General features: G+C 45.5%; 1 protein-coding gene across 3 annotated transcripts in view, besides 4 other annotated features; it reads left to right on the forward strand.

Annotated features, from left to right (window-relative positions):
• Positions 1-22,422, forward strand: part of TUNAR (transmembrane neural differentiation associated intracellular calcium regulator) — a 49,124-nt gene that overhangs the window by 19,828 nt on the left and 6,874 nt on the right. The gene's annotated exons all lie outside the window — the stretch shown is intronic.
• Positions 4,141-4,641: an enhancer, noted in NCBI's record as "H3K4me1 hESC enhancer chr14:96366753-96367253 (GRCh37/hg19 assembly coordinates)". NCBI's record gives its function as "activates a minimal SCP1, AML or CMV promoter by ChIP-STARR-seq in naive H9 embryonic stem cells {active_cell/tissue: H9 hESC(naive)}" and the evidence as "EXISTENCE:reporter gene assay evidence [ECO:0000049][PMID:30033119]".
• Positions 7,968-8,911: an enhancer, noted in NCBI's record as "H3K27ac-H3K4me1 hESC enhancer chr14:96370580-96371523 (GRCh37/hg19 assembly coordinates)". NCBI's record gives its function as "activates a minimal SCP1, AML or CMV promoter by ChIP-STARR-seq in primed H9 embryonic stem cells {active_cell/tissue: H9 hESC(primed)}" and the evidence as "EXISTENCE:reporter gene assay evidence [ECO:0000049][PMID:30033119]".
• Positions 11,118-11,804: an enhancer, noted in NCBI's record as "H3K27ac-H3K4me1 hESC enhancer chr14:96373730-96374416 (GRCh37/hg19 assembly coordinates)". NCBI's record gives its function as "activates a minimal SCP1, AML or CMV promoter by ChIP-STARR-seq in primed H9 embryonic stem cells {active_cell/tissue: H9 hESC(primed)}" and the evidence as "EXISTENCE:reporter gene assay evidence [ECO:0000049][PMID:30033119]".
• Positions 12,850-13,372: an enhancer, noted in NCBI's record as "H3K4me1 hESC enhancer chr14:96375462-96375984 (GRCh37/hg19 assembly coordinates)". NCBI's record gives its function as "activates a minimal SCP1, AML or CMV promoter by ChIP-STARR-seq in naive H9 embryonic stem cells {active_cell/tissue: H9 hESC(naive)}" and the evidence as "EXISTENCE:reporter gene assay evidence [ECO:0000049][PMID:30033119]".

A 22,422-nucleotide genomic window follows, 5' to 3' on the forward strand; every position in this document is an offset into this window, starting at 1 on the left:
CCAGGCAGGGTGTCAGGGTGTCAGTGTTCAAGCTCAATGGGGAAACTGAGGTAGAACCCCAGAAATAGAGATTGGGCTGTTCCAGCTAAGTAGCGGCAGTGCACAGGCATGACCCTGTACCCACTGGAGACTTCATTTGTGGCATCAAGGCTCACTGCAGCCCCACCTCCTGGGACAAAGCACCTCCTGCCCTGTTTTGTGTGGAATAAAGCTGGGACTTCCATGAAGGGACTGGGCTGGGTGAGGGGCAAGCCAGAAGCTGCACCACACCCTCTGGAACTCTAGAGGCCATTCCAAGCCTCACTTGTTTTTCTTTTCGCAAAAGTGGAAGCAGAAAGCCTCTGCTCTGTTTGCCTTACTCTGCAAATAAAAATGGAATCAGGAGAGTAGTAGTTTGAATCCCACTTGCAAGCAGTTTGTAAGAAGTGCCCAGGTGCCCCAAAAGGTGGAAACATTTATTTTCCATTTGTAAAAAATAACACTTTGTTATGTTGATATCATGCGGCAGCAGAGTACTCTGCAGTTTGCAGCTTGGGAATGCAAAGGGCAGGGTCTCCTTGCAGGCCTGGCTCTGGGAAGCCTCCTCACCACAGCCCTCCATATTTTCCATGACACTCTCCAGCTCCCAGAGCGTGCTGCCTTGCCTGCTTAGCAGGCTCTAAAATCGTACTTTACAGTTTATGCCATGATTCGGGCTTGCGTTGGAATTTGTTCCTTCAAATAGCTCTGGCATATGTTTTTATTTCACAGTAAAACCGTTTTTAAAAGTTAACACATGCACATTGTCACAAATCAAATTGTATAGGCAAGTATATCATAAAAGCCCTGATACATCCTGAATGCTTGCTTTGTGCCAGGCACTGTTCTGGGGATGTTTTTCCTATAAACTCATTTAATCCTCGTCAGAACTTTGTCCCCACTTTGTGTGATCCAGGATTTGCATCCAGACAGTGCATTGATCGTCTTTGAGCCCCAGTCATGGACTTCCTGATGTGGAAGAGGAATCCACTGCCGTACTAGTGGCTCTTTCTCCTCCTCTCAGTTTCATCTGTGCTTGTTAAAGTGCTTCTCTCTGTTACTTTTCAATCTTTAGATACATTTTTCTCCAGCACCCTTGCACAGTGTGTCTGTCTCCTTATTTCATAAGGTGAGGTTGTTAATCCATATTGTTCCTTTTGTCTTTCCTCTCAAGCTTCGGTGCCACCCACCTGCTACTTTCAGGCTGACATTCCTTCAAGGTTGCTGAAGCTTGCATCCCATCCTGAATGCTCTAGCGTATGCATTGTCCATAGTTTGACTCTGAATGTTGAGAACAGTAGGTGACATTGCTATAATTATTGCTGCATCAGAAGTGGCTAATGCTGGGTTAACTCATGCACTGGGATGACCTTTTCTTCTCTGGAGATCAATGCCAGAACCCCTAGACCACTCAAAGCAGAATGGCCTGGAACAGACTTGAGTGGGTTCTCCCGCCTACACAATGTCATTTGCTTGGAAGCATGCCATATTGTAGTTTGCTTCATCTTTGGATCATCACTTTATTGCACAGGATATTTTTTCTGGGATTTCTGGTTGCCTTTCTTTTTTTCTTCTTGCTTTCTATGCCTTTTTCATACTCTCCCTTTTTTCATACCGCCTGTTCCATTGAGCCTTTCCCCATTGTTTTTCTGTTTTGTTTTGTTTCTTCTGGAGAGCTAACCCCTCTCAGGATGCTCTCCCCTCCTCTACCCAGGGTACTGCATCCTCTCCAGGGCTGCTGCCCCCAGGTCATCTTGGGCTCACCGTCATTGCTTTCCTGGGTTGGAGGCTCTGTTTGCTTAAGTTACCTCCTAAGAAAAGGTACATGGAAAGTAAAGTGTCTGAAAATGTCTGTATTTTATGCTCACACTGAAGGTCGATTTCCAGGTTCTAGATCATTTGCCTTCAGAATTTTGAAGACTTTAGAGTTTTCCTTGTTGCTGATGAGAAGTCCGATGCCTGGTTCTTTGTAGATTATTTATTCTCTATTTGTCTTGTCCAGAAGATTATAAGAATTCTTCTTCATTCATGGGGTTCATGTATTACATGAGGATAGTCTCCAGGGTGGGTCTTCATTTATTCATTGTTCTGGATGCCCAGTGGCCCCCTTTCATCTGAAAGCCCACGTCCTTCAGCTCTGGGAGATTCTAATGGAACTGATTGTTTTAAAACCTTCATTTGTTTTCCATTCTCCATATCTGAGCCTCTTACTTGTCAGCTCTAAAATCTTCCAGAAAGGGATTATATTCTTCTACATTTTTCTCATTTCTTTGCCTTTTTGCTCTTTATTCGAGATTTTGTTGACTTCATTTTCTGGTTTGTCATTTTGCTTTTTTTTAACTTTTAAAAAACATGTTGGCACTAACATTTTTAACCTCTGAGAGCTTTTTCTTGTCTCTGATCATTTCTTTTCCTGGAATCTATTTTCGTTTTATAGCTACTAGTATACTGAGTGCTGGAATAGTAATTAGAGCATTTTGTTTGTTTGTTTGCTTTAGTCCATGAATTATTTCTGTCTCCTCTAAGGTCAGTTTTTGATTGTTTTGACTCTGCTCTTCCTGCTGCTCACTTTCTCCTGTGCCTTTTCGTTTCGAGTTGAAAAAAGTCTAGCAGCTGTTGTGAGATTGTTCTTTGGCCAATGAGTAAACAGGCTGAGAAAGACTGGGTAACTGACCAGGATCACCCAGGTAGAAATGACTAGCTGGTAACCAAACCCCAGCCTTCTGATTTCTACTCAGCTTCCCTTCCCCCCAAAACTTGATTGATTTCAAGTAGATTTTAGGCCAAGACTTGTCCCACTTTGCTGATTGCATGGAGGCTGGCATCTCTTGGTAACTGGGGCTGTGGGAGAAGCTGACTTTCCCATTTCCCACCACTGGTCTGTGCCTCCTCTGTGGTATGCTGGAGGACCCAGGAGTTCTGTGGTTGTCAGGAGACCATGCAGCCACATCTGGGATGGTTGGTGGCTTCTCATTGGCCTGATGTCCTTTGTCGAAGGTGAGGCCCCAGAATCCACTCCCAGGTATCCCACAGCCCCCCACAAAAAGCTCAGACTTCTCCCTCTCAGAACAGGAGACCCTCAGCTCTGAGATGGGGACCACAGTGGAGCAGCACCCACTAGAAGGATTCCTGGGTCCCCGAGGCTTGGTTAGAAGTAAATCTTCACCTGCATGCAGAATAATTCAAGGGGGTGTTTGACTGCAGGCAGGCTGCCTGTCTTCATCCATTTGGGCTGCTATAACAAAATAGCATAAATTGAGTGGCTTCTAAACTACACACATTTATTTCTCACAGTTCTGGAAGCTGGGGATTCCAAGATCAAGTTGCCAGTAGATTGAGTGCCTGGAGAGGGCCCACTCGGTGGTTTGCAGATGACCGTCTTCATGCTGCCTCCTCACCTAGTGGAGGGAGGGGTGGAGAGCTGTCTTCTGGGGTCCCTTTTATAAGGACACTAATTCTATTCATGAGGGCTCCACCCTCATTACCTAATCTCCTTCCAAAGGCCCTGCTTCCTAATACTAGCAACTTGAGGGTGAAGATTTCAACATATGAATTTTGGGGGGACATATTTAGATCATAGCAGTGCAAAATTAGGAAAATGTGGAAGAAACCATTAAACCATAGATATTTTAACTCATGTCACCCTCATCTTCTGCTCCTGGAACTTTCTCCTATAGAATATTCTGACTTGCAGAGAGAAACAGTGAAATCATTCAAAGGAATTTCTCGGTCCTCCAGCTTTGGGATGCTCCTTAAATCACATGGAATCTGAGACTGAGCCATTTATTGGGAGCTTTTCTTTATTCCTTTTTTTCCCCCATTTATTCAGCAGATGTATATGAAATCTTCCTGTAAACATAAAACGATGCTTAAATACAAGAGGTGAGAAGGGTGCAGAGGCAATTAAGATGTGGCGTCTGCCCTCAAGGGCCCTGCAACTCAGAGGGAGAGACAAACATGTAAACAGGTGCACTGTGAGGCGAAGGGAAGGCTGCGCTGCTGGGAGGTACAGTTAGTGGGCTGCATGATTGCGGGGAAAGGAGCGATGAATTGTGCTCGGGGGAACTGAGGCAGACTGGAGCAGAGACGGCACCAGGGCTGGGCTGGACAGGAAGTTGAGTGTTATTAGATGGAACCAGTAAAGCAAGGCATGGCTTGAGCAAGAGCCAGGAGTCAGAGGCTCACAAGTGCCAGGCCCATCCCAGGGCTGCTGGCCCCAGTTGGTGGGAGTCCAGGGTAGCAAAGGACTTGGCCATGCGAAGGTTTGGGTTTCTTGTCTGGTGAGGGCACAGTGCCTCCTTCTTAGGTCTGTGCTGGGGAGTAAATGAGCCAGCCAGGGCAGGAGGTGGGCTCCATGCTGGTTGCATAGTAAGCCTTAATCCAGGTTAGCTGTCATTGCTTATGACAAGGTGGCCAACAGTTCTACATAGCCTTGGAGCGCATACTAGTTTGGAGAGCAAGTGGTGCCGGGTTTCAAAGAACTGTGGGCATTAAAAACAGTTCATGACAAAAGGGGAGAAGCAGATGCCCTTAGAAGGGATGCAGCCACCTTCTCCACATCGCCATTTTGTGGACAGGCAAACAGGCTCGTAAAGGACAGATGTAGCTCATTTATGTGCGGTGAGACAGGACTGAAGCCATGTGGTTTATAGGTGCCTTTTGCTTCTTTTTTTGTTTAGTTGGCTAGTTATTTTTGTGCCCTTTACCTATTTTTAGGAGCGTATTTTTCCCTGCTTTTTAGTTTCAGTACTCATATATAGGTTTCTCTCTTTTCTTTTCTAGCATCATGTTTGAGATGGGTAAGAGACAGTCCAGGCAACAGCTTCAGAAGGTGTGTGTTTAACGGACAAGCAAGCAAGTGCTGTTGTCTGGCTCGGTGTAAGAGCTTTCTGACCGGCAGAGCTGACAGGAGCCATTGCTTATGGACTGCTTTGGGAGGTGATTCATGCAGCCCCGGAAATGCTCGAGCAGAAATCTGGGCAACCATCTGGTGAAACTAGTAGAGAAGGGAATGAGGATTCAATGAGTGGTCAGACTGGAAAAGCCCGAACATTCTCTTCCTCCCCAGAGAGTTGGGGGCCAGGGATTCTGTTCATGTATTCAGACCCTCCTTCTGTAAGCATTTTGTGAGCCTCTCCTGGGTGCCAGGCCCCATATAGATGCCAGGAATAAGGAAGTTAAGGGACAGAGGCAGGAGATGTAAATTTTGCTAATGTGGGGCACAGGAGTTAATCTTGTGGATTTGGGCTCAGGACAGCCCCAAGGGTTGACAGCCCTGGCGCCTAGCAGGGCCATCGTGGACAAATTACTTAACCCCAGGAACCACAACTTCCTTTTCTGGAAAATGGGCAGATACTCATTCATTGAGCCTCTGCCATATGGCATTGTTCTTGGCACAGGGGCTGCAATGAAGGACACGATTGCTGTCAAGTGGCTTCTCTTCAAAGTAGGGAGGAGAAATGAAAAAATAACATACTTTGGAGTAGGGAATCCTACTTTCTTCAGTACTTTGATGAAAATGAAGTGTAGGGTACATAGCTGGAGAGTGATGGGAATAGGGGACCTTTATAGACAGGGTATCCTGGAAGACTTTTGCTGCAGGGACACGGTATCTGAGCAATCTGAATGCTGTGATGGAGCCAGCCAGTGCAAACGTTTGGGCAAAGTGTGTTCCAGTAGAGGAGACAGCCAGTGTAAAGGCCCTGGGGTAGTAATTTCAAAAAAGATCAAGGATGTTCACATCCTTTAGTTGTGATGGGATTGACAGAGATTGTGTAAAGATCACAATCCTTTAGTTGTGATGGGATTGACAGAGAGGGGAGAGTAGCGGGAATTTAGATAGCTAGGCAGCAGTAGTATCAAGTGTATTTTTCCAGTGTAGCACCTTATAGCAAAGTCATTTTTTTTCAAGTTTTTTTTTAACCCCTGTTAGTCTGGACAAGTATTGGATCAAAATTGTAAGCTTGACTTCTCCCTGCATGTCAGCCGCAGTTTCTTCAAAAAGTTATCATTCAGAAGGATGCTATTTCCAGGCTGGACGCAAACACAGTTGGAGGGATCCATATGCAGAGATGAGAATTTTTGTATCTCAGAAGATGGTAAAACCCACCCAGCTGTCTAGTCATGTTGGAAAAAAATCACATTAAAATGCAAATGCTCCTGAGTAAGTGAAATGTTGATGGGTGCAGCCCGCCAAAGAAAAATATTCATGAAATACAGGCTGTTGATCCACAGCTAGCATGGCCAAGCCATTTGCTCAGCAAGACCTGAGTGCTAGGAAATCGCACTTACGGGAGCTGTTCTGTGCCCTTAGCAAACGCTGATCTCCCCAGGGGCATTTGGAAATGGGGACGCTCAAGTGCTGGGTAATCATGGGGATGGGGTGGGGGAGCCTGCTTGGTAAAAGGACACTCTGGCCACATTGCTTTCATCGTCTATTTGAACCTCTCAGCATGGACCTTGGGGACAAAGACTAGAGACGGTGTCACCTCCACCTTCCCAAGAGGAAGGGGTCTGCATTTCCCTGCATCGTTTCAACTTGTATTTCTGAGCCTATCAGGGACTCTAAGCTGGATTTCCTTAAAAAGCATTCTCCTTTCATGGGTGGGTCTTTGAAAAAGCATTGAGAACATAGATTTTCTCAGTAAATATCTGGTATTTGCAACTTTGAGCCATAAAATGTAGGAGTGGAGAGAGAGAAAAAAATGTGTACCAGACATCATGATTGTTTCCCATTGAATCCATACAACAGTAATCAGGTGGGCATTGTTACTCCATTTTGTAGACAGGAAAGCTGAGGCTCAGAAACAATAGAGTGGGGCCATTTAGAGCATGGCCTTGGCGAACATGAGAGAATCCCAGCTCTCTCACACCCTGAGGAAAGGGGAGATGTTTCTCCCGCTCGCTGATTCCACTTTGCCCATTTATAAAATGTGATGATAGTGTCTTCCTCTCTTCTGTTGTTGCAAGCATTACAATTATTGATGGACATAAAGTGCTTAGAACATTACTTGGCCCCTGGGAAGCAGTCAGCAATGCTAGGGGCTCTGCTGACTGCTTTAAATGTGACCACAGTCACTCAGCAAGCAGAAAGAGATGATGACATCAGCACGATTGTCCCTGTGCAGAAAGACCAAGCTCAAAGCCCAGAGACCCCTTGAGATCACCAGCGACAAACATTCCACACAGATCACAAATGAGCATTGTTCTGCTCGCAGAGTTCTTGCTCAGTTACCTGTGGAATTATTCTCCCCACTTTACAGATGAAAAAAATTGACATTCATAAAAAGCCCTCTTTTCCTTAAGGATTGCAAACAAAAGCCTCTTTCAGCCAGTGTTCCCGTTACCTATTGCTGTGTTACAAGCCAGTCTAAAACTTAGTGGCTTGAAACAGAAGGTCGTTATTATCTCATGGGGTTCTGTGGGTTGACTGGACTCAGCTGGTGGTTCTCACTTTAGGTCTCCTGGGTACTGGGGGCAGATGGTGGCTGGGGCTGGAGCCACTGGGCTGGCAGCTGGGCTGGGCTGGCCGGCACAGCCAGGGCTGTAGGGCTTCTCTGCCCATTTCTCTCCACCTGGCTCGCTGGGGCTTCCTCACAGCAGGTGGCCTCAGGGGAGTTGGATACTGGCATGGCAGCCAGCTTCCCAAGAGGGAGTGTTCCAAGACACAGGAAATGGAAGCTGCTGGGCTGTAAGGCTGGCCCAGGAACTTGCATGAGCTCTCACCCAAGGGGAGGGAACATGGACCCCTGCCTCATGATTGGAAGGGAGTGAGTGGCCATCTATAATCCCCCATTGCTGGGCAAGGTGGATTTTGCAGATCCTGGAGGGCCAAGTATGTAATAGTTCACTCCCCTGTAACATGGGTTCTGCTAGGTCCCTCAGCATAAACCTGGAGCCTTGCTTGATCCTGCTGGAGACATAGGCCATCACTGGCTCCTGTGGGGGGGCCTGGGTGGTTGGCTTAGACTAGAACCTGCCTCACTGGGGATCTGGGAGAAGGTCACTCTGGCAGACAGACTGAACCCAGGCAAGCAGTCAACATGCAAGGCCTGTGGAGGATGTGCTGGTGATAGGCAGAGCACAGTGGGAGGGAGTGGGAGAGGAAAGGTGGGCCCTGGAATGATTCAGGAAGGCAGGCAGGCTGACCTTCAGGCCTCAGGAGCACAGCCAAGGCAACCAGGCAGGTGCAGGGCAGACCACTCTCTCTGGGTGAGGGATAGGTATGAAAGTCAACAGCCCAGGCCAGGGTCACCAAGCAGCTTCCTGGGACAAGAGCTCAGCCAGAGGCCGAGTCCTAAGAGGTGGGCCACACTGTGTACTGGTAAAGCCCAGGTGTCATCCCTGAAACACAGAAGCTGTGGTTCCCAGAACCCAGGGCCCTTGAGGCTCAGCCCCATAGAGGTGGGGAGCCCCTTCCAGGCCTCGGGCCCTGATTGCTTCTGAGAACCAAGGCAGGTAAGGTCTGCAGAGAAAAGTCCAGGAGGTGGAGGGGCTGCCCGGGCTGGGTACCCCGCAGTGCCTGAGTTTATATCCTCTTCCCCTCAGGACGCTAGCCCTGGCTGAGGACCTGCGCAGGATGTTCCAGAGATCCCTTCAGTTCTGGGGCTTTCTGTAACCAAAGACTGTCCCAGAGCCTGTCACCAAAAACCAGCTCATTCCACAAGGGCCCTGGAAGCTCTGGTTCACATCCAGCACTCCTTAGCCTCTGTTCCCTGCATCCTCTAGAGGCATTGATACTAGAGCAATCCTTAAGTGGGACTTAGCAAAGGCCCTGGTGGTTTGGTCTAAGTGTTTGTGAAATCATTCAATAAGGGACTTAAACATTACCTCTTTTTAAAATTTTGAACTAATGTAGAAGTCATTTCCGCACCCAGTGGCCCCTCCCGTGAACATCTTATATAACCTGAGTGTAATCAGCAAACCCAGGAAGTTACCAACGTGTAATACTATTAACTCAATTGCACACCGATTCAGATTGCACCAGTTTTCCCACAAATGTCCTTCCATCCAGGATCCCGTTCCAGATCCCACACTGCTCAGTTGCCATGTCTCCTTATTCCCCTCCAATCTGGGGCAGTTCTTCAGTCTTTCTTTGTCTTCCATGACCCTAACACTTCAGAAGAGCACTTGTCAGCTATTTTCTTAAATGTCCCTCAGTTTAAGTTTGTCTGAAGTTCTTTTTTGGACTGAGGTTGTGCACTTTTGGCAAGAATCCCACAGAGCTCATGTTGTGACCTTCTTGGTGCCCCCTATCGGGATTCATGGTGTGGACATCACTGGTGACATTGACCTCGATCACTGGGTTAAAGGGATGTCTGCCAGGCTTCACTGTAAAGTCACTGTCTTTTCTTCGTAATTGATAAATACCTTGGAGGAAATACTTTGAGACCATGTGAATCTCTTTCTCCTCAAACATGAGCTCATTACTTTTAGCATCCATCGGTAGATCTTGTCCACAATAATTATTACTGTGGTGATTGCCTACTGGTGATTTTTCTGTTTCTCTCTGTCTTTGTAGTCCTACATTTATTTATTGGAACTCTACTGTAAGAAAGAATTGGTCTTTCTCCCCCATTTATGTATGTGATTATTTACTTATGTCAATGAAAACTCATAGACATTTCTTTTATCCTGTGATTTATAATCTAATCCTGTGGTTATTTATTTTCTTGCTCAAATTATCCCAGCTTTGGCCATTAGAAGTTCCTTCAGGTTTGCTCTTGTGTTTTCAACCAGCCCCTCCACCCCCACCTGTTTTTGGAAGACTTCCTTAACTTTCTGGTATCACAAGATGTTCAAGGCTTATCTTGTATGTTCCCTTCCTCAACTCTGGAATCAACCACTTCTCCAAGGAGCCCTGGTTCATTTTATTGGAGAATGGCATAGAGAAACCAAGGTTTGGGTGCCAGGTATGTTTATTGCCACTGAGCTGTCATTGCTTTTAGGCCTTTTAGGGGACATAGCTGGGAATGATATGGACAGGCACTAATCCATGCGTGCACACTCATCTGTATTTCTGTGTCCACCTACCTGGATGTATATTAAAAACCACGTGTTTATACTGGTATCTCTAATTCTAGTCCAACATCACAAGGCTCATTTTAACTTTTTCCCTTTCCTGCAATTTTTTTCCCCAACAGCAAGAAACTCAGCTTTTGTTAGCTAAAATATATTTATTTAATTCTAGTATACACTAAAGTAGTTTCAGATTTATTAACCCATGTCCCCATGAGAAGCACATTTACCCAATTACTGAGTAGGTGATAGCGTTTGTGTACAGTCTTTTTGTCCTCAGCCTTATGCTATCCAATCAAAATACTGTTTTCCAAAATTACTTAGGTGAGTTCTTTTCTTTCCCACCCCCTTCAGTGTGGTAATACTATTTATTTGTAATAGTTTGGTCCACTTATTAATGTTTACATTCCATTTTGGGTTTCCTTCCGGTCTTGGTAGGTTTGAATTGCTTTGTGTGGACATATGAAAGACATGCTAAACATCGCAATGCTCCTGAGTCAGATCTATAGCAAAAGATACACTCAGAGAAGCATCACTTCCTCCCCATCCTCGCCATCGTGATCCTACCCCACTCTTCTCTGCATCCCTTTCTCTTCCACCACCTCTAGGGAACCAGTCTCTTTAATTTCTAGTTTACCCTTCCTGTATTTCTTTTGCATAAGTGAGCAGATGCATGCATGCATTTTTGTAGCCCCTTTCTTCCATGAGGTGTAGCATACTGTTGTATGTTACATGTCTGTTGCATGCACTTTCACACTTTGCTTTTCTAAGTTAACATTGGGTCCTTGAAATCTCTCCAAGTCCATTCATAGGGTCCTTCCTCCTTCCTTTTTGCCACCACATCGTACTCTGTGTGGACATGCCATGGTTTATTCAGCCCTTCTCCTATATCTGAGCATTTAGGTTGCTTTTCGTATTTTTGCATTTACAAATGAGGCTGCAGTGGATGAACTTGCGTGTGTGTTTTCATAGCATTGGAGCTTATCTTCAGGGTAGAGTCCAAGAAATGGAGTTGCACAGTTGCAAGGGAAATGTATATGTGGTTTTGTTAAGTGTTGCCAATTTTGTTTCCAGAAAGCTTTGCCTTCAAGGGTTGGAAAATAGTTATTTCTTGTTGGAAGTCAACGGTAAGCATAAGGGGCAAGGTGGGGGTATTGCTACTCTTCTTATGGGATCTTTAGAATGTTGCTTTTCTGGCCAGAAATCTCTGTGGCCAGTGGTGCCTTTGCCCAAGTTCTTGTCCGGCATCCAGGAAGAATGAGGTATGCAGACAAGTGGAGGGTGAGCAAGATGAAGAGGTGCTTTACTGAGTGTTACAACAGCTCAGAGGAGATCTGCAATGGGTAGCTCCTCTCTGTAGGCAGGTCATCCCATTGAGCGTACAGCTCTCAGCAGAGAAGAGACCCTGGAGTGAGTGGCTTCTTTATGCCAGCAGGTCATCCCACCATTTCTGCAGCTCTCAGCAGAGAGGAGGCCCTGAAGAGGGTGACTCCTCTTTGCAGCTGAGTCTCAACATCTGTGCAGATCTCTGAAGCCCTCAGCAGAGAGGATAGATCCTCTCTGCAGCTGGTCCTCCTGTGGTCTCTCTGTCCTCTCTGACCTCTGCCCTGCTCTGGCTGAACCTGGGGCTTTTATGGACCTCAGAGGAGAGGAAGTGTGTGTCAGTTGGTCCATGGGCAGCCATGGGTGGGCCTGGAAAAGGCACCACAAGTCCCCAGTTTGATCTGCAGGACTGGCAGTCTGGCCCCCAGCCTTCAGGCCCTCCCTGGCCTTAAGGTGGAGCATTCCTAGGGACCTGCCTGCTTCTGCTCAGGAATCTGTCTGCCTCCTGATGCTGTTCATGGCACCTGGGCTTGGCCCCAGTTTTGCTCTGAGATCAGAGCAGATGCCAACAGCAGGGAGAAGTCAGATAGTGGGAAGAGGCACTTCCGAAGCTATGAGGGCAGGGATGACTTCCCAGGTCCCCAAGAGTGCAGGGAGGCCTGAGTCTGCAGCCATGGTTTGGGCAGCTGCAGCTGCACCCAGTGGGGTGGGGCTCCTGCCTACTCAGCCGCTCCAGACGACCTGCCACTGCCATCACTCTGATGGAGGCTCTTTCTCACCAGGCAACGATCTGTCAGGCAAAGTGCGTCCTCCCATCTGTCCTCTTAGCATCAAGGAAAGGCAGATGCTGGTCTCTCATGACAACTTACTGAGGACTCTCATATACGCTGCCTCGTTTTGTCCTCTAACAACATCATGAAGGATCTGAGCTTACTCTACTGTTGGCTCCATTTTAAAGGCAAGGAAACTGAGGCTAAGAGAAGTTAAGAGATTTTCCCTTGGTCACAGAGTTAGTTGGGATCACAAGAGTCTCAAAATCAGTTTTCTCAGATTATGGCCTTCTTCCCCTCTCCATGTACACTATTGGAACCATAAGAGGCCTTGGCTATCACCCAGTTTGAGCCCATCATGAATCCATTACAGATGAGGACCAGAGAGGGAAGTTGATGTAGTTTAGGTGACACAGCTCAGTGAGGGCCATACCTGGAACCCAAATCCCTGGGTCCTTCCCCTACTCCCTGTTAGTCCTGGGAATTGGAGGTAGAGTAGCCCTGGCAAGTGGGGTCCATGGCCCAGTGGAAGTGGCAGGTAGGCGGGGGGTGACGTTGCTGGGCTGGAGGTCTGCACCACAGGCCTGCGTCTCATCTCTGCTGTTGAAGCATCCTTTCCTCAGAGATACCTGATGACTTGGGTTCCTCAGGGAAGTCTGGACTAACAGAATTAACTTTTCCCACAAGTGAAAAACGTGTTCTCGTTGAGCAAAGGAAATTTTGATTAATTTACCCTTAAGTGTCAGTACAGGGAGCTGTTTTTTCTCTTTAGATCAGTGTTTAAACTTTTCTCACTCAACACACAGTAAACTAATCCTCCTTTCCATCAGACTTCAGGGGGAGAAAGAAAATAAACAAGGTTATCCTTGCTGCCATCTCTTTTTTTTTTTTTTTTTTTGAGGTGGAGTCTCACTTTGTCACCCAGGCTGGGCTGCAGTGGCACGATCTCGGCTCACTACAACCTCCTCCTCCCGGGTTCAAGCGATTTTCCTGCCTCAGCCTCCCGAGTAGCTGGGACTTCGGGCACCCACCACCATGCCTGGCTAATTTTTTGTATTTTTAGTAGAGACGGGGTTTCACCGTGTTAACCAGGATGGTCTCGATCTCCTGACCTCGTGATCCACCCGCCTCAGCCCCGCAAAGTGCTGGGATTACAGGCGTGAGCCACCGTGCCCGGCCGCTGCCATCTCTTTATAGGGAAATCCAGCTAGGTGGGCTGGGCTAGGCTGTCCCTACCCCCCATCTCAGCTGCCTCTCAGAGTGAGCCAATGCATGCACTCACTCTCAGTACTGAACACTGCGGCTGCCCCAGGCCAGGCTCAGGGGCCAGAGGACATGGAGGTGAATCTGACCCACCCAGGCCTGTCCTTCCAAAGGAGCTCAGTTTAGTGGGGAAAGACCCAAATCAAGAGATGGTGACAGGATAGGGCAGGAGTTGCCCAGACATCCGAAGACGGGGTCCTGGGAAATGCTACCAATGGAATCGAGCTTCAAAGGGCCAGCAGTAGTTCTTCAAGCCAGGAAGAGCATGTGAACAAATGCACAGGGGTTAGAGCCCCAGCAGGCGGTGGTGGGACTGGAATGTGGGGGGCATTTGAGGGCAGGCAGGAGATGGGCAGCACCTGGGAGTCATGTTGGCTGCGTGATTTAAATCGCAACTCGGTGTATGATCATTTCTTTACTTTTTTCACTGCCGTATCCCTAGTACCTACAAACTTCCTGGAGTGTTGCAGAGCTTCACTAATTATTTAAGTCTCAATTCCTTATCTCTAAAATGCAGATAATGCTTATTTTTGTCTGTGCTGTCGCTGTGTCTCTAGAATAGGGTCTTGGCTGGGCACGGTGGCTCACGCCTGTAATCCCAACATTTGGTGGAGGTGGGCAGATCACTTGAGCCCAAGAGTTTGAGACCAGCCTGGGCAGCAGAGTGAGACCTCGTCTGTAAAAAACAAAATAGAATGGGGCCAGCGTAGATTAAATACTAAATAAATATTTGTTGAGTGGGTGAATGGATGGAGGAACTGTGTATTTATTAATTAGTAGCTATGACGTTTATCATCATGTGTGGCTGGATAGTAGCTACTGGCCCCATCATGACAGATATCAAGTACAAAGCCAGATCCAGCAACATCTTGGCAATTAGGGAGGGGAAGCACTGTAATTAATACTAATCATTGTGAACCTTCGTTGATCAGACTAAATGCTTTACAGATATTTTATCTCTTCACTGGTTCTTTGGAACTCCTGGGAGTAATTCCTATCACCAGGGATGGCCTGGCTGCCGTCTCCCTTGAGTGGCTTGTCTGATGACAGCCAGGCCATTCTGTGGCTGCCTGTGCTGGGCATGGGCATGTGTGGAGGAGCTTGTCCTTTGGAAAACTCTTGCCCAGCCCCTGACGAAGACCTTGCCTGGGTTCAGACTTTGTCACTCAGAGGCTCCCAGCTCATTTCCTGAAAGCCTGGAAGGCAGCTGTGGAATGTTGGCAGAGCTGGCGGCCACCCTGTCTAGACATTTAGTCCTGGAGAGCCGGTTACCCATTTTACTTACTGTGGTTTGATTTTAGGAGCCAAGTGAGTTTCAAAAATTTAATATAAAGTATCTAATGCATACAAGAGTATACATAGTGTATATGTGTGATTGAAAAAATAAACAGGAATTGAACATCCATGTACCTATTGCATCTAATGAATAAATTCCACAGGTGCCTTGCATGACTTACAAGGGCCTCTGTTCTAGTCCCCGCTTCCCCCTCCAGCCTCAGCTCTTAGGACAGCCCCCTCACCATGCTGCTGCGCCAGCCCTACTCGATGTAGCATTCCGCACTTCCACATTTTCTTCACATCTGCCAGTCCCCTGCCTCGTTGCCCTTCTCCCACCATCAGCTGAGATGGTCCTACTGGCCTTTGATGTCTCAGCTCAGACCTCCTATCTTGTGGAGACAGTTCACTGCGTGCCCTCTCTGCAGTGCCCTGGGCCCTCATCACCATAGTGATCAATTTGTGTTTTCCGTTCACTGGGCCATGAGCTCGTTGAGGGCCAGGGCCCTTGTCTTCCATTTGTACATGCCCGTTGTTATGGGCAGCTGTGTTTTAGGTGACCACTGAGGTCTCTTCTTGGAAGGGAGAAGTTGATGCTTCCTCTGTGTTCTGGCCTCATCTGCTAGATTTGTCAGACAACGATGCTAAATTTCCAGGCAGGAGCTTGCCATCGTAGATAGGATCAGCGTGAACCTTCCCCGCTCCAAAATATGGAAATGTTCTCAAGACGGAGAAACACTCAGAATTACAGTTGAGCCTGAGCCACTCCATTGAAAGCAGCCAGCAAGTAATGGAAAGAATTTGGATAGAATAATCCCTGTCTTCCTTTTCCGGAATGTCTGGTACCTTTTAGCACATCAGGGAGCAAAGATTTAGTTCTGAGACTGGCATTATTTTGACAAACAAGTTGGTACTAGAATTAAATGACCCAAAACCCAACTCCCATTCAGCCTAAACATCTCTGCTGTACTATAGAAAGGCTGTCAGAACCTCCTTCATTTGTCATTTTTCACATACAGCAATGGCCCCTTTTGGTTTTCAAATTCCAGCCTCTCAGGCAGAGAGATACTGACATGAAGATTTCTCCTTGCATACCGGCGTTGTTCTTGTCACTTGGCTGGTGAGGTTCTTTGAGGATTGTTGGAAAACAGAAGCACTCGTAGTCTTCGTAGTTTTATTTATTTATATATTGATTGCTTTGAACATGATAAAAGTAAATTAACATAATCAACTATGTTATAGAACATTTCTGAATTTTTCCCCCAGCATGTTTTTCCTAAACAAGTAAGGTTTTAAAAATCTTACTTGCACTATATTGTACTTTGTATTTTTACTTTAGTCCCCATAATCATGTTGAATTTATGTGATCATTGATTTTATTTAATATGGAAAAGCAAATTTCTTCTTAAATTTACATTACCTAATATTCTCACTGGCTACGTTCTGCATTCGACACTGCCTTTTATTGTAATATTGTCTAAATAGATGCAGAAAAATGGAATTTTCTCTATTAAAGTATTTTACATTTGAAATATAAAAGAACTAGATAACAGTTTTCTATTCAAATGTGTTTATTTTAACATTGTTTGGTTAAAAAAGATAGATGAAGTTCCAGTCAACCACTTTTTCCCCCTGAAATTTCAAGATAATGCTGTATTAACTTTTCTAGATCTAACACTAGCTTATCCTTCCCTCTTACAAAATTGTTTGAACTTACTGAGAAAATATTCCCATCATTAACAAAAATAAACTATTTAATAGAAAAAAATTATTTGCAGTCATAAGTAGAACTGAATTTTAATATCCTGTGCTTTTCCCCTTATCACATCGTGGGCATCTTCCTTTTTTTCTTTTTTTTTCTTTTTTTGAGAGGGAGTCTCGCTCTGTCGCCCAGGCTGGAGTGCAGTGGTGCGATCTCAGCTCACTGCAGGCTCCATCTCCCAGGTTGACGCCATTCTCCTGCCTCAGCCTCCCGAGTAGCTGGGACTACAGGCGCCTGCCGCCACACCTGGCTAATTCTCTTGTATTTTTAGTAGAGATGGGGTTTCACCCTGTTAGCCAGGACGGTCTCCATCTCCTGACCTCGTGATCCGCCCGCCTCGGCCTCCCAAAGTGCTGGGATTACAGGCATGAGCCACCGCGCCTAGCCGGGCATCTTTTTTTTTTTACCTCATGGTCTTTGTCACCATCATTTTCTTTCCTTTTTTTTTTTTTTTAAATTCTACTCTAAGTTCTGGGATACACGTGCAGAACCTGCAGGTTTGTTAAATAGGTATACATGTACCATGGTGGTTTGCTGCACCCATCAACCCATCATCATCTAGGTTTTAAGCCCCGCATGCATTGGGTATTTGTCTTAATGCTCTCCCTCCCCTTGTCCCCCACTCCCCGACAGGCTCCGGTGTGTGATGTTCCCCTCCCTGTGTCCATGTGTTCTCATTGTTCAACTCCCACTTATGAGTGAGAACATGCGGCGTTTGGTTTTCTGTTCCTGTGTTAGTTTGCTGAGAATGGTCACCATCATTTTCAGCTGCCAGGTAATGCATCAGTGAGTTGTAATCACACGAATTTTTCATTCCGCAATTTACTATTGATCACTGAGTGGCTTGGCAAGGGACAAACTCCATTTCTTAGAATTGGCTCTGAGAAATTGGTCTAGAGAAGTCATAAAGAGGAAACCTCACCAGCAAATAGAGGCTGCAGAAAGTGCCAGGACCCAGCATCTTGGATATCGCTCAGCCATGGTCTGTCCAGCAGGGTCACTAACCTAGAGACCTCTAAGTCCTAGATGGACTGGACTTTTTTTTTTTGAGACAGAGTCTCACTCTGTCACTAGGCTGGAGTGCAGTGGCACGATCTCAGCTCCCTGCAACCTCCGCCTCCCAGGTTCAAGCGATTCTCCTGCCTCAGCCTCCCGAGTAGCTGGGACTACAGGTGCCAGCCACCACACCCAGCTAATTTTTGTATTTATAGTAGAGACGGGGTTTCACCATGTTGGTCAGGATGATCTCGATCACTTGACCTTGTGATCTGCCCGCCTTGGCCTCCCAAAGTGCTGGGATTACTGGCGTGAGCCACCGTGCCCAGCCCCTAGGTGGACTTTATAGCAACCTTGGATAAATATGGGCCAGAGGAGAAGGCAAACAGTAACCAATTGACAGCCTTGGAAGAGTGCTAATGAACTAGTTGGTATTAAGCTGGAAACCTAGTCAAAAACTGGAAGGTGAGTAACTGTATGGAGAGGGTGCACATCCAGTGTGTGGATGATCTGAAGCTGGGAGGAGAGTGACTGTGTAGGAAGACAATCATCTAGAAGCCAAGGCAAACTCAACAGATTGGCACAGTGGGCAGAGGTCAGCCCCCTGGACTGTAATGTAAATACTAAGTCCTATTCTTGGGTTAAAAATGCTCACCTTCCACAAACAGGGAGCAATGTGATTTTGTAGCATCGTAAGTCATGGCATACTGTGGTGACCCCAAAGTGAAGTGGTTCTTATTAGCATCCATGGATGTGCCACATCCAGGAGGGAGAGGACAAACCTGCCCAGTTTGGGCTGAAAATCTTTCCCTTATGTTTTCCTTATGCATGCTGTGATTTTAGGGTGGGCCTTCCCAGGAGAAGGGATCATGATTAGGAGTGGCTATGTGGACAAGTAGGGAACAGAAGGTGCTTAGCTGGACAAAAGGGCTTGTGAAGTCATGAGAATGAGCCTCTGTCATCATTGTCATCATCATCAATCATCATCATCACCACTTAATCATAGTGGCTGCCATTCATCAAGCTAGGAGACTTAGAACTAATGTCTTTAATCCTACAAGCTACTGTTATCCCTACTTTATAGGTGAGGAAACTGAAGCTCAGAGAGATGAAGCAGCTTGCCCCAGTCACATAGCTGATAAACCACTGAGACAAAATTGGATCCCAGCTATATCTGAAGCCAGAGTTGTCATTCCTTCCGTATCAATTTTTCAAAAACCGTGGTGCTCCCTTGCAGAGGATAACAAGGACTTGCTTTTGTTTAGTTCCTGGTTATAAAAGTAGTTCCAGTGGGTGCAAGCTAAGCGAGAATATTTTGTTTTAAAGCAAAGGGCTTTCCTGACTGAGCTGTCGGCAGGTAGAATATACTTCCTGAGAGGTGGTAAATTCCAGAATGATAGGAAGTCTTCAAGAGGAGGCTTGGTTAGCACTGTGTGTTCTAGAGGGAGCTCAAAGAAGCCAACAAAATAACCTTGAATACCCCTTCTGTACAAGTAAAAGCTCTGGTTGCATGCAACAGATACTGGTAAGAAATGGGTTCCAACTGCCTTAAGCAAAAACACTGTTTTTTGCAGGGATATGGGGTAGTTCATGGGATAGAAGGAAATGGTGAGCTGAGCTTTAAAAAGGGCAAAAGTCAGCCTGGCTGCAGGCATCCAGGCGGCAGCAGCTAATGGAACCTCATTTCAGCACCGTGGCTAGGATGAGTCAGTGTTTACAGTTGACCCACCTGCTATCACCCTACCTAAGACTAAGCTCCAGAGACAGAGCATCTTATAGGCTTAGCCAGGATCCAGACCCATCCCCATGGCAGCTTGATTGACAGCCTCCATTAGGAAGGGTAATTTTCCAGAGGAAAATCGAGACCAAAGAAAGACCATGAATGCTGGTTAGGCCCAGTGAGCCATGACCTCCGTGCCTTCTAGCCCTGCCCGGCTGGGATTCCACACTGAACCCTGAGTCCCCCTGCAGGGCTCTCCCTAGCTGCTCTGCAGCCTCTAGGCCCAGGCCACACACGGCGCTGTGTCACTGTATACTCGTGGTTTATTTTCCAAGACACGCATCCTAATTAAGCAAATGATTAAAAACTCTCAAGTGTGCTCATCGGAAGCAGCCCAACAGAGGACTGGCTTGCTGGGAACTGTGCTTGAAAGTGAGTTGCCCATCGCCTTAGCACAGTAGGGGTGCTGATGAGGAGCACTCTGTCTTTCCAGAAAAGTGGCTCCCTTCCTGGTTACCATGCGGGGCTTCTTTTGGCATTCAGCACAGCACTTAATATACCCAGTCTTTAAAACCCTGTGTTTTTTAAAAAAAATTGTTTTTGCTAATTAATTTGTTTTAATATCAGTATTGTTTTATTGTTAATTATGCAGTTAACTAGTAAGTATTAAATCACCAATTAACTTATTAAGTATGGAATAGATATGAGAAGCATATTTAGAATGTAAGTATAAAGAGCAAGCGCTCATGTACCCACCACCAGCTTGAGAAATATTACCAGTGGCTTAGAGAGTCCTGAGCATCCTCTCCATCCTGTCCACTTAGTGGGAACCACTACGTCGGCTTTGGGATTTATTGTTCTCTTGTTTTTCTTTGTGTTTTTATCACACTTGTATCTCCATATAAAATATTGTTAGAATCTCCCTGTTTCTGAACTTCCCACATAAGTGGGAACATCCTTTCTGTGGTCTTTTGCAACGCGCTTTTGCACTCGATATTGTATTTGCAATTCATCCATGCGATGGCACGTTCCAGCATTTCATTTTTTCCTCGACGCTGTGTGTTTTTCCAGCATGAGAACTCACAACGGTAGATCCAGGCCACCGCTGATGGCCATTGATGCTGGGTCCAGCATTTTGCTTATGCTGACATTGCTGTCTTTAAATGCTCTTATCCATGTACCCTGCTGCTCATTTGCAGGTGTACTCGGTGTGTATCTCAAGGTGGCATGGCTGGGTCACTGAGGTGTGAGTATGTTTGGCTTTATAAGATAATGCCATCCTGTTTTCCAAAGTGACAGTATCCACTGATACTCCTGCCATAGGTATCTGAGAGTCCCTGCTACCGTACAGACTCTGTCAGTGTTCAGTGGTCTTGTCAGATGTTTTAGTTCTTGCCAATCTGATGGCTGTTTGATGGTAGCTCACTGTGTTTCAATGGGCATTTCTCTGGTACTGAGGTTTAGCTTCTTTACGGCTGTTTACTCTTTTGTAAACCATGCCTGGACATGGTTTTGCCCAGTTTTCTACTGGATATTTATCATTTTCCTACTCATTTGAGACTAGAATGATGTATAGTGTATATCCCAGTTTGTGGCTTAACTTTTCACTTTTGATGATATTTTATTTTTTTGATAAACAGATATTGAATTTAAGGTCATCGAATTTCATAATTTTCCTTATAGTTTGAGCTTTTATGTCTTGTTAAGATATCCTTCTCTACCCCAAGGTCATACAGATATTCCTTTATATTGCCTTATAAAAGTTTCGAAGTGTTCTTTTTCTATTCTTATCTATAATTCATCTGGAACTGATGAACTACTGATTTGATTTCATTTATTTTTTCATACAGATACTCAGGTATTCCAACACTGCTCATCAAAGACCCGTTTACCCCTGTGGATCAGCAGTGTCCATGTGTGTGTAACTTTGTTTTTGTTTCTTTGGCCTATTTGTCTAAGGCTTGTATAAGCCTTAGACCTAAGACATATTGATGCCCTATGAGGCAGATCTCCCTACCTTATTCTTTAGTAAACATCTTGGCTGTTATTATCCATTTGCTCTTTGATATACATTTTAGAACCTACTTGTCAAATATCACCAAAAACCCCATAGACATTTTGACTGGAACTGCAAAAAACCTATAGAACACTTTAGGAAAAACTGATGTTTTTAGGATATTGAATCTTGCTTATTGAATCTAGCATTCCGTGAAGATGGTATGTCTTCTTTTTCATGTTGGTCTGCTTTTATGTCTTTCAGTAAAGTTTTACAGTATTCTTCATCAAAATTTCACACATCTTTATTAGATTTATTTCTGGGCACTTTATATTTCAGATACTATCACAAATACTGTTTTTTAAAAATTAACATCTTGATTGAGATATAATTCACAAACCACAGAATTCATCTATTTGAAGTGTACAGTTTCATGGCTTTAGTATATTTAGTGTATTTAGGGTTGTGCAACTGTCACTAAAAATCTAAGTTTAGAATATTGTTGTTACTCCAAAAAGAAATGCCTTTACTGTTATCAGCCAATCCCCACTTCCCCCTCCACCCAGCCCCTGGCAGGAAGAAATGAGTAAATGATTGAGTGGATAAATGAATGTATAACCTTTAGCAAGCTTTATGTCAGACATTGACTGGCCCCAGCCTTTGCTTGTTGTTTATTTTTAATTTTTTAAATTTTATTTTTTAAGTTTTAATTTTTGTGGCTACATAGTGGGTGTATATATTTATGGGGTACTTGAGATGTTTTGATACAGGCACACAGTGTGAAATAACACATCATGAAGAATGGGGTATCCATCCCCTCAAGCATCTATCCACTGAGTTGCAAACATTCCCGTTACACTCTCTAATCCATTTTAAAATGTGCTGTTATTATTATACTTGTTGCTTATTGTTTCTGTTTTCCTTTCCCATCTCTGTTATTGTTCTGGTTTCTAGGCTAATCTCCTGGATTCTATGAGTCTCCTCCATCACTGTTCATCCTCCAGACCCTGGCCAGACAACTTTTTCCAAAGAAAACAATATTCTAACTTCTCCATTTAAGGAAGCCCTCAGTAACTCCCCTGGGAATCAAGCCACACTCCCAACGTGTTGTCTACAGGGGAATTGAAGTTTCCAAGTTGATGACTTAAGCAACTTGGAAACAAACACCCGAGGTGCAACTCTTCTGTGAGTCGGAGAAGGTCTCTTCTAGGTCTTTGTTTGCTTCAGAGTCCTCGGAAAGTAAACACAGCTGACCTGATTATTCCCCTCCACTTCCTCCTGA

The sequence above is a fragment of the Homo sapiens genome, chromosome 14 (assembly GCF_000001405.40).
Source record: "Homo sapiens chromosome 14, GRCh38.p14 Primary Assembly".
In the NCBI taxonomy this organism is placed as follows: Eukaryota; Metazoa; Chordata; class Mammalia; order Primates; family Hominidae; genus Homo; species Homo sapiens.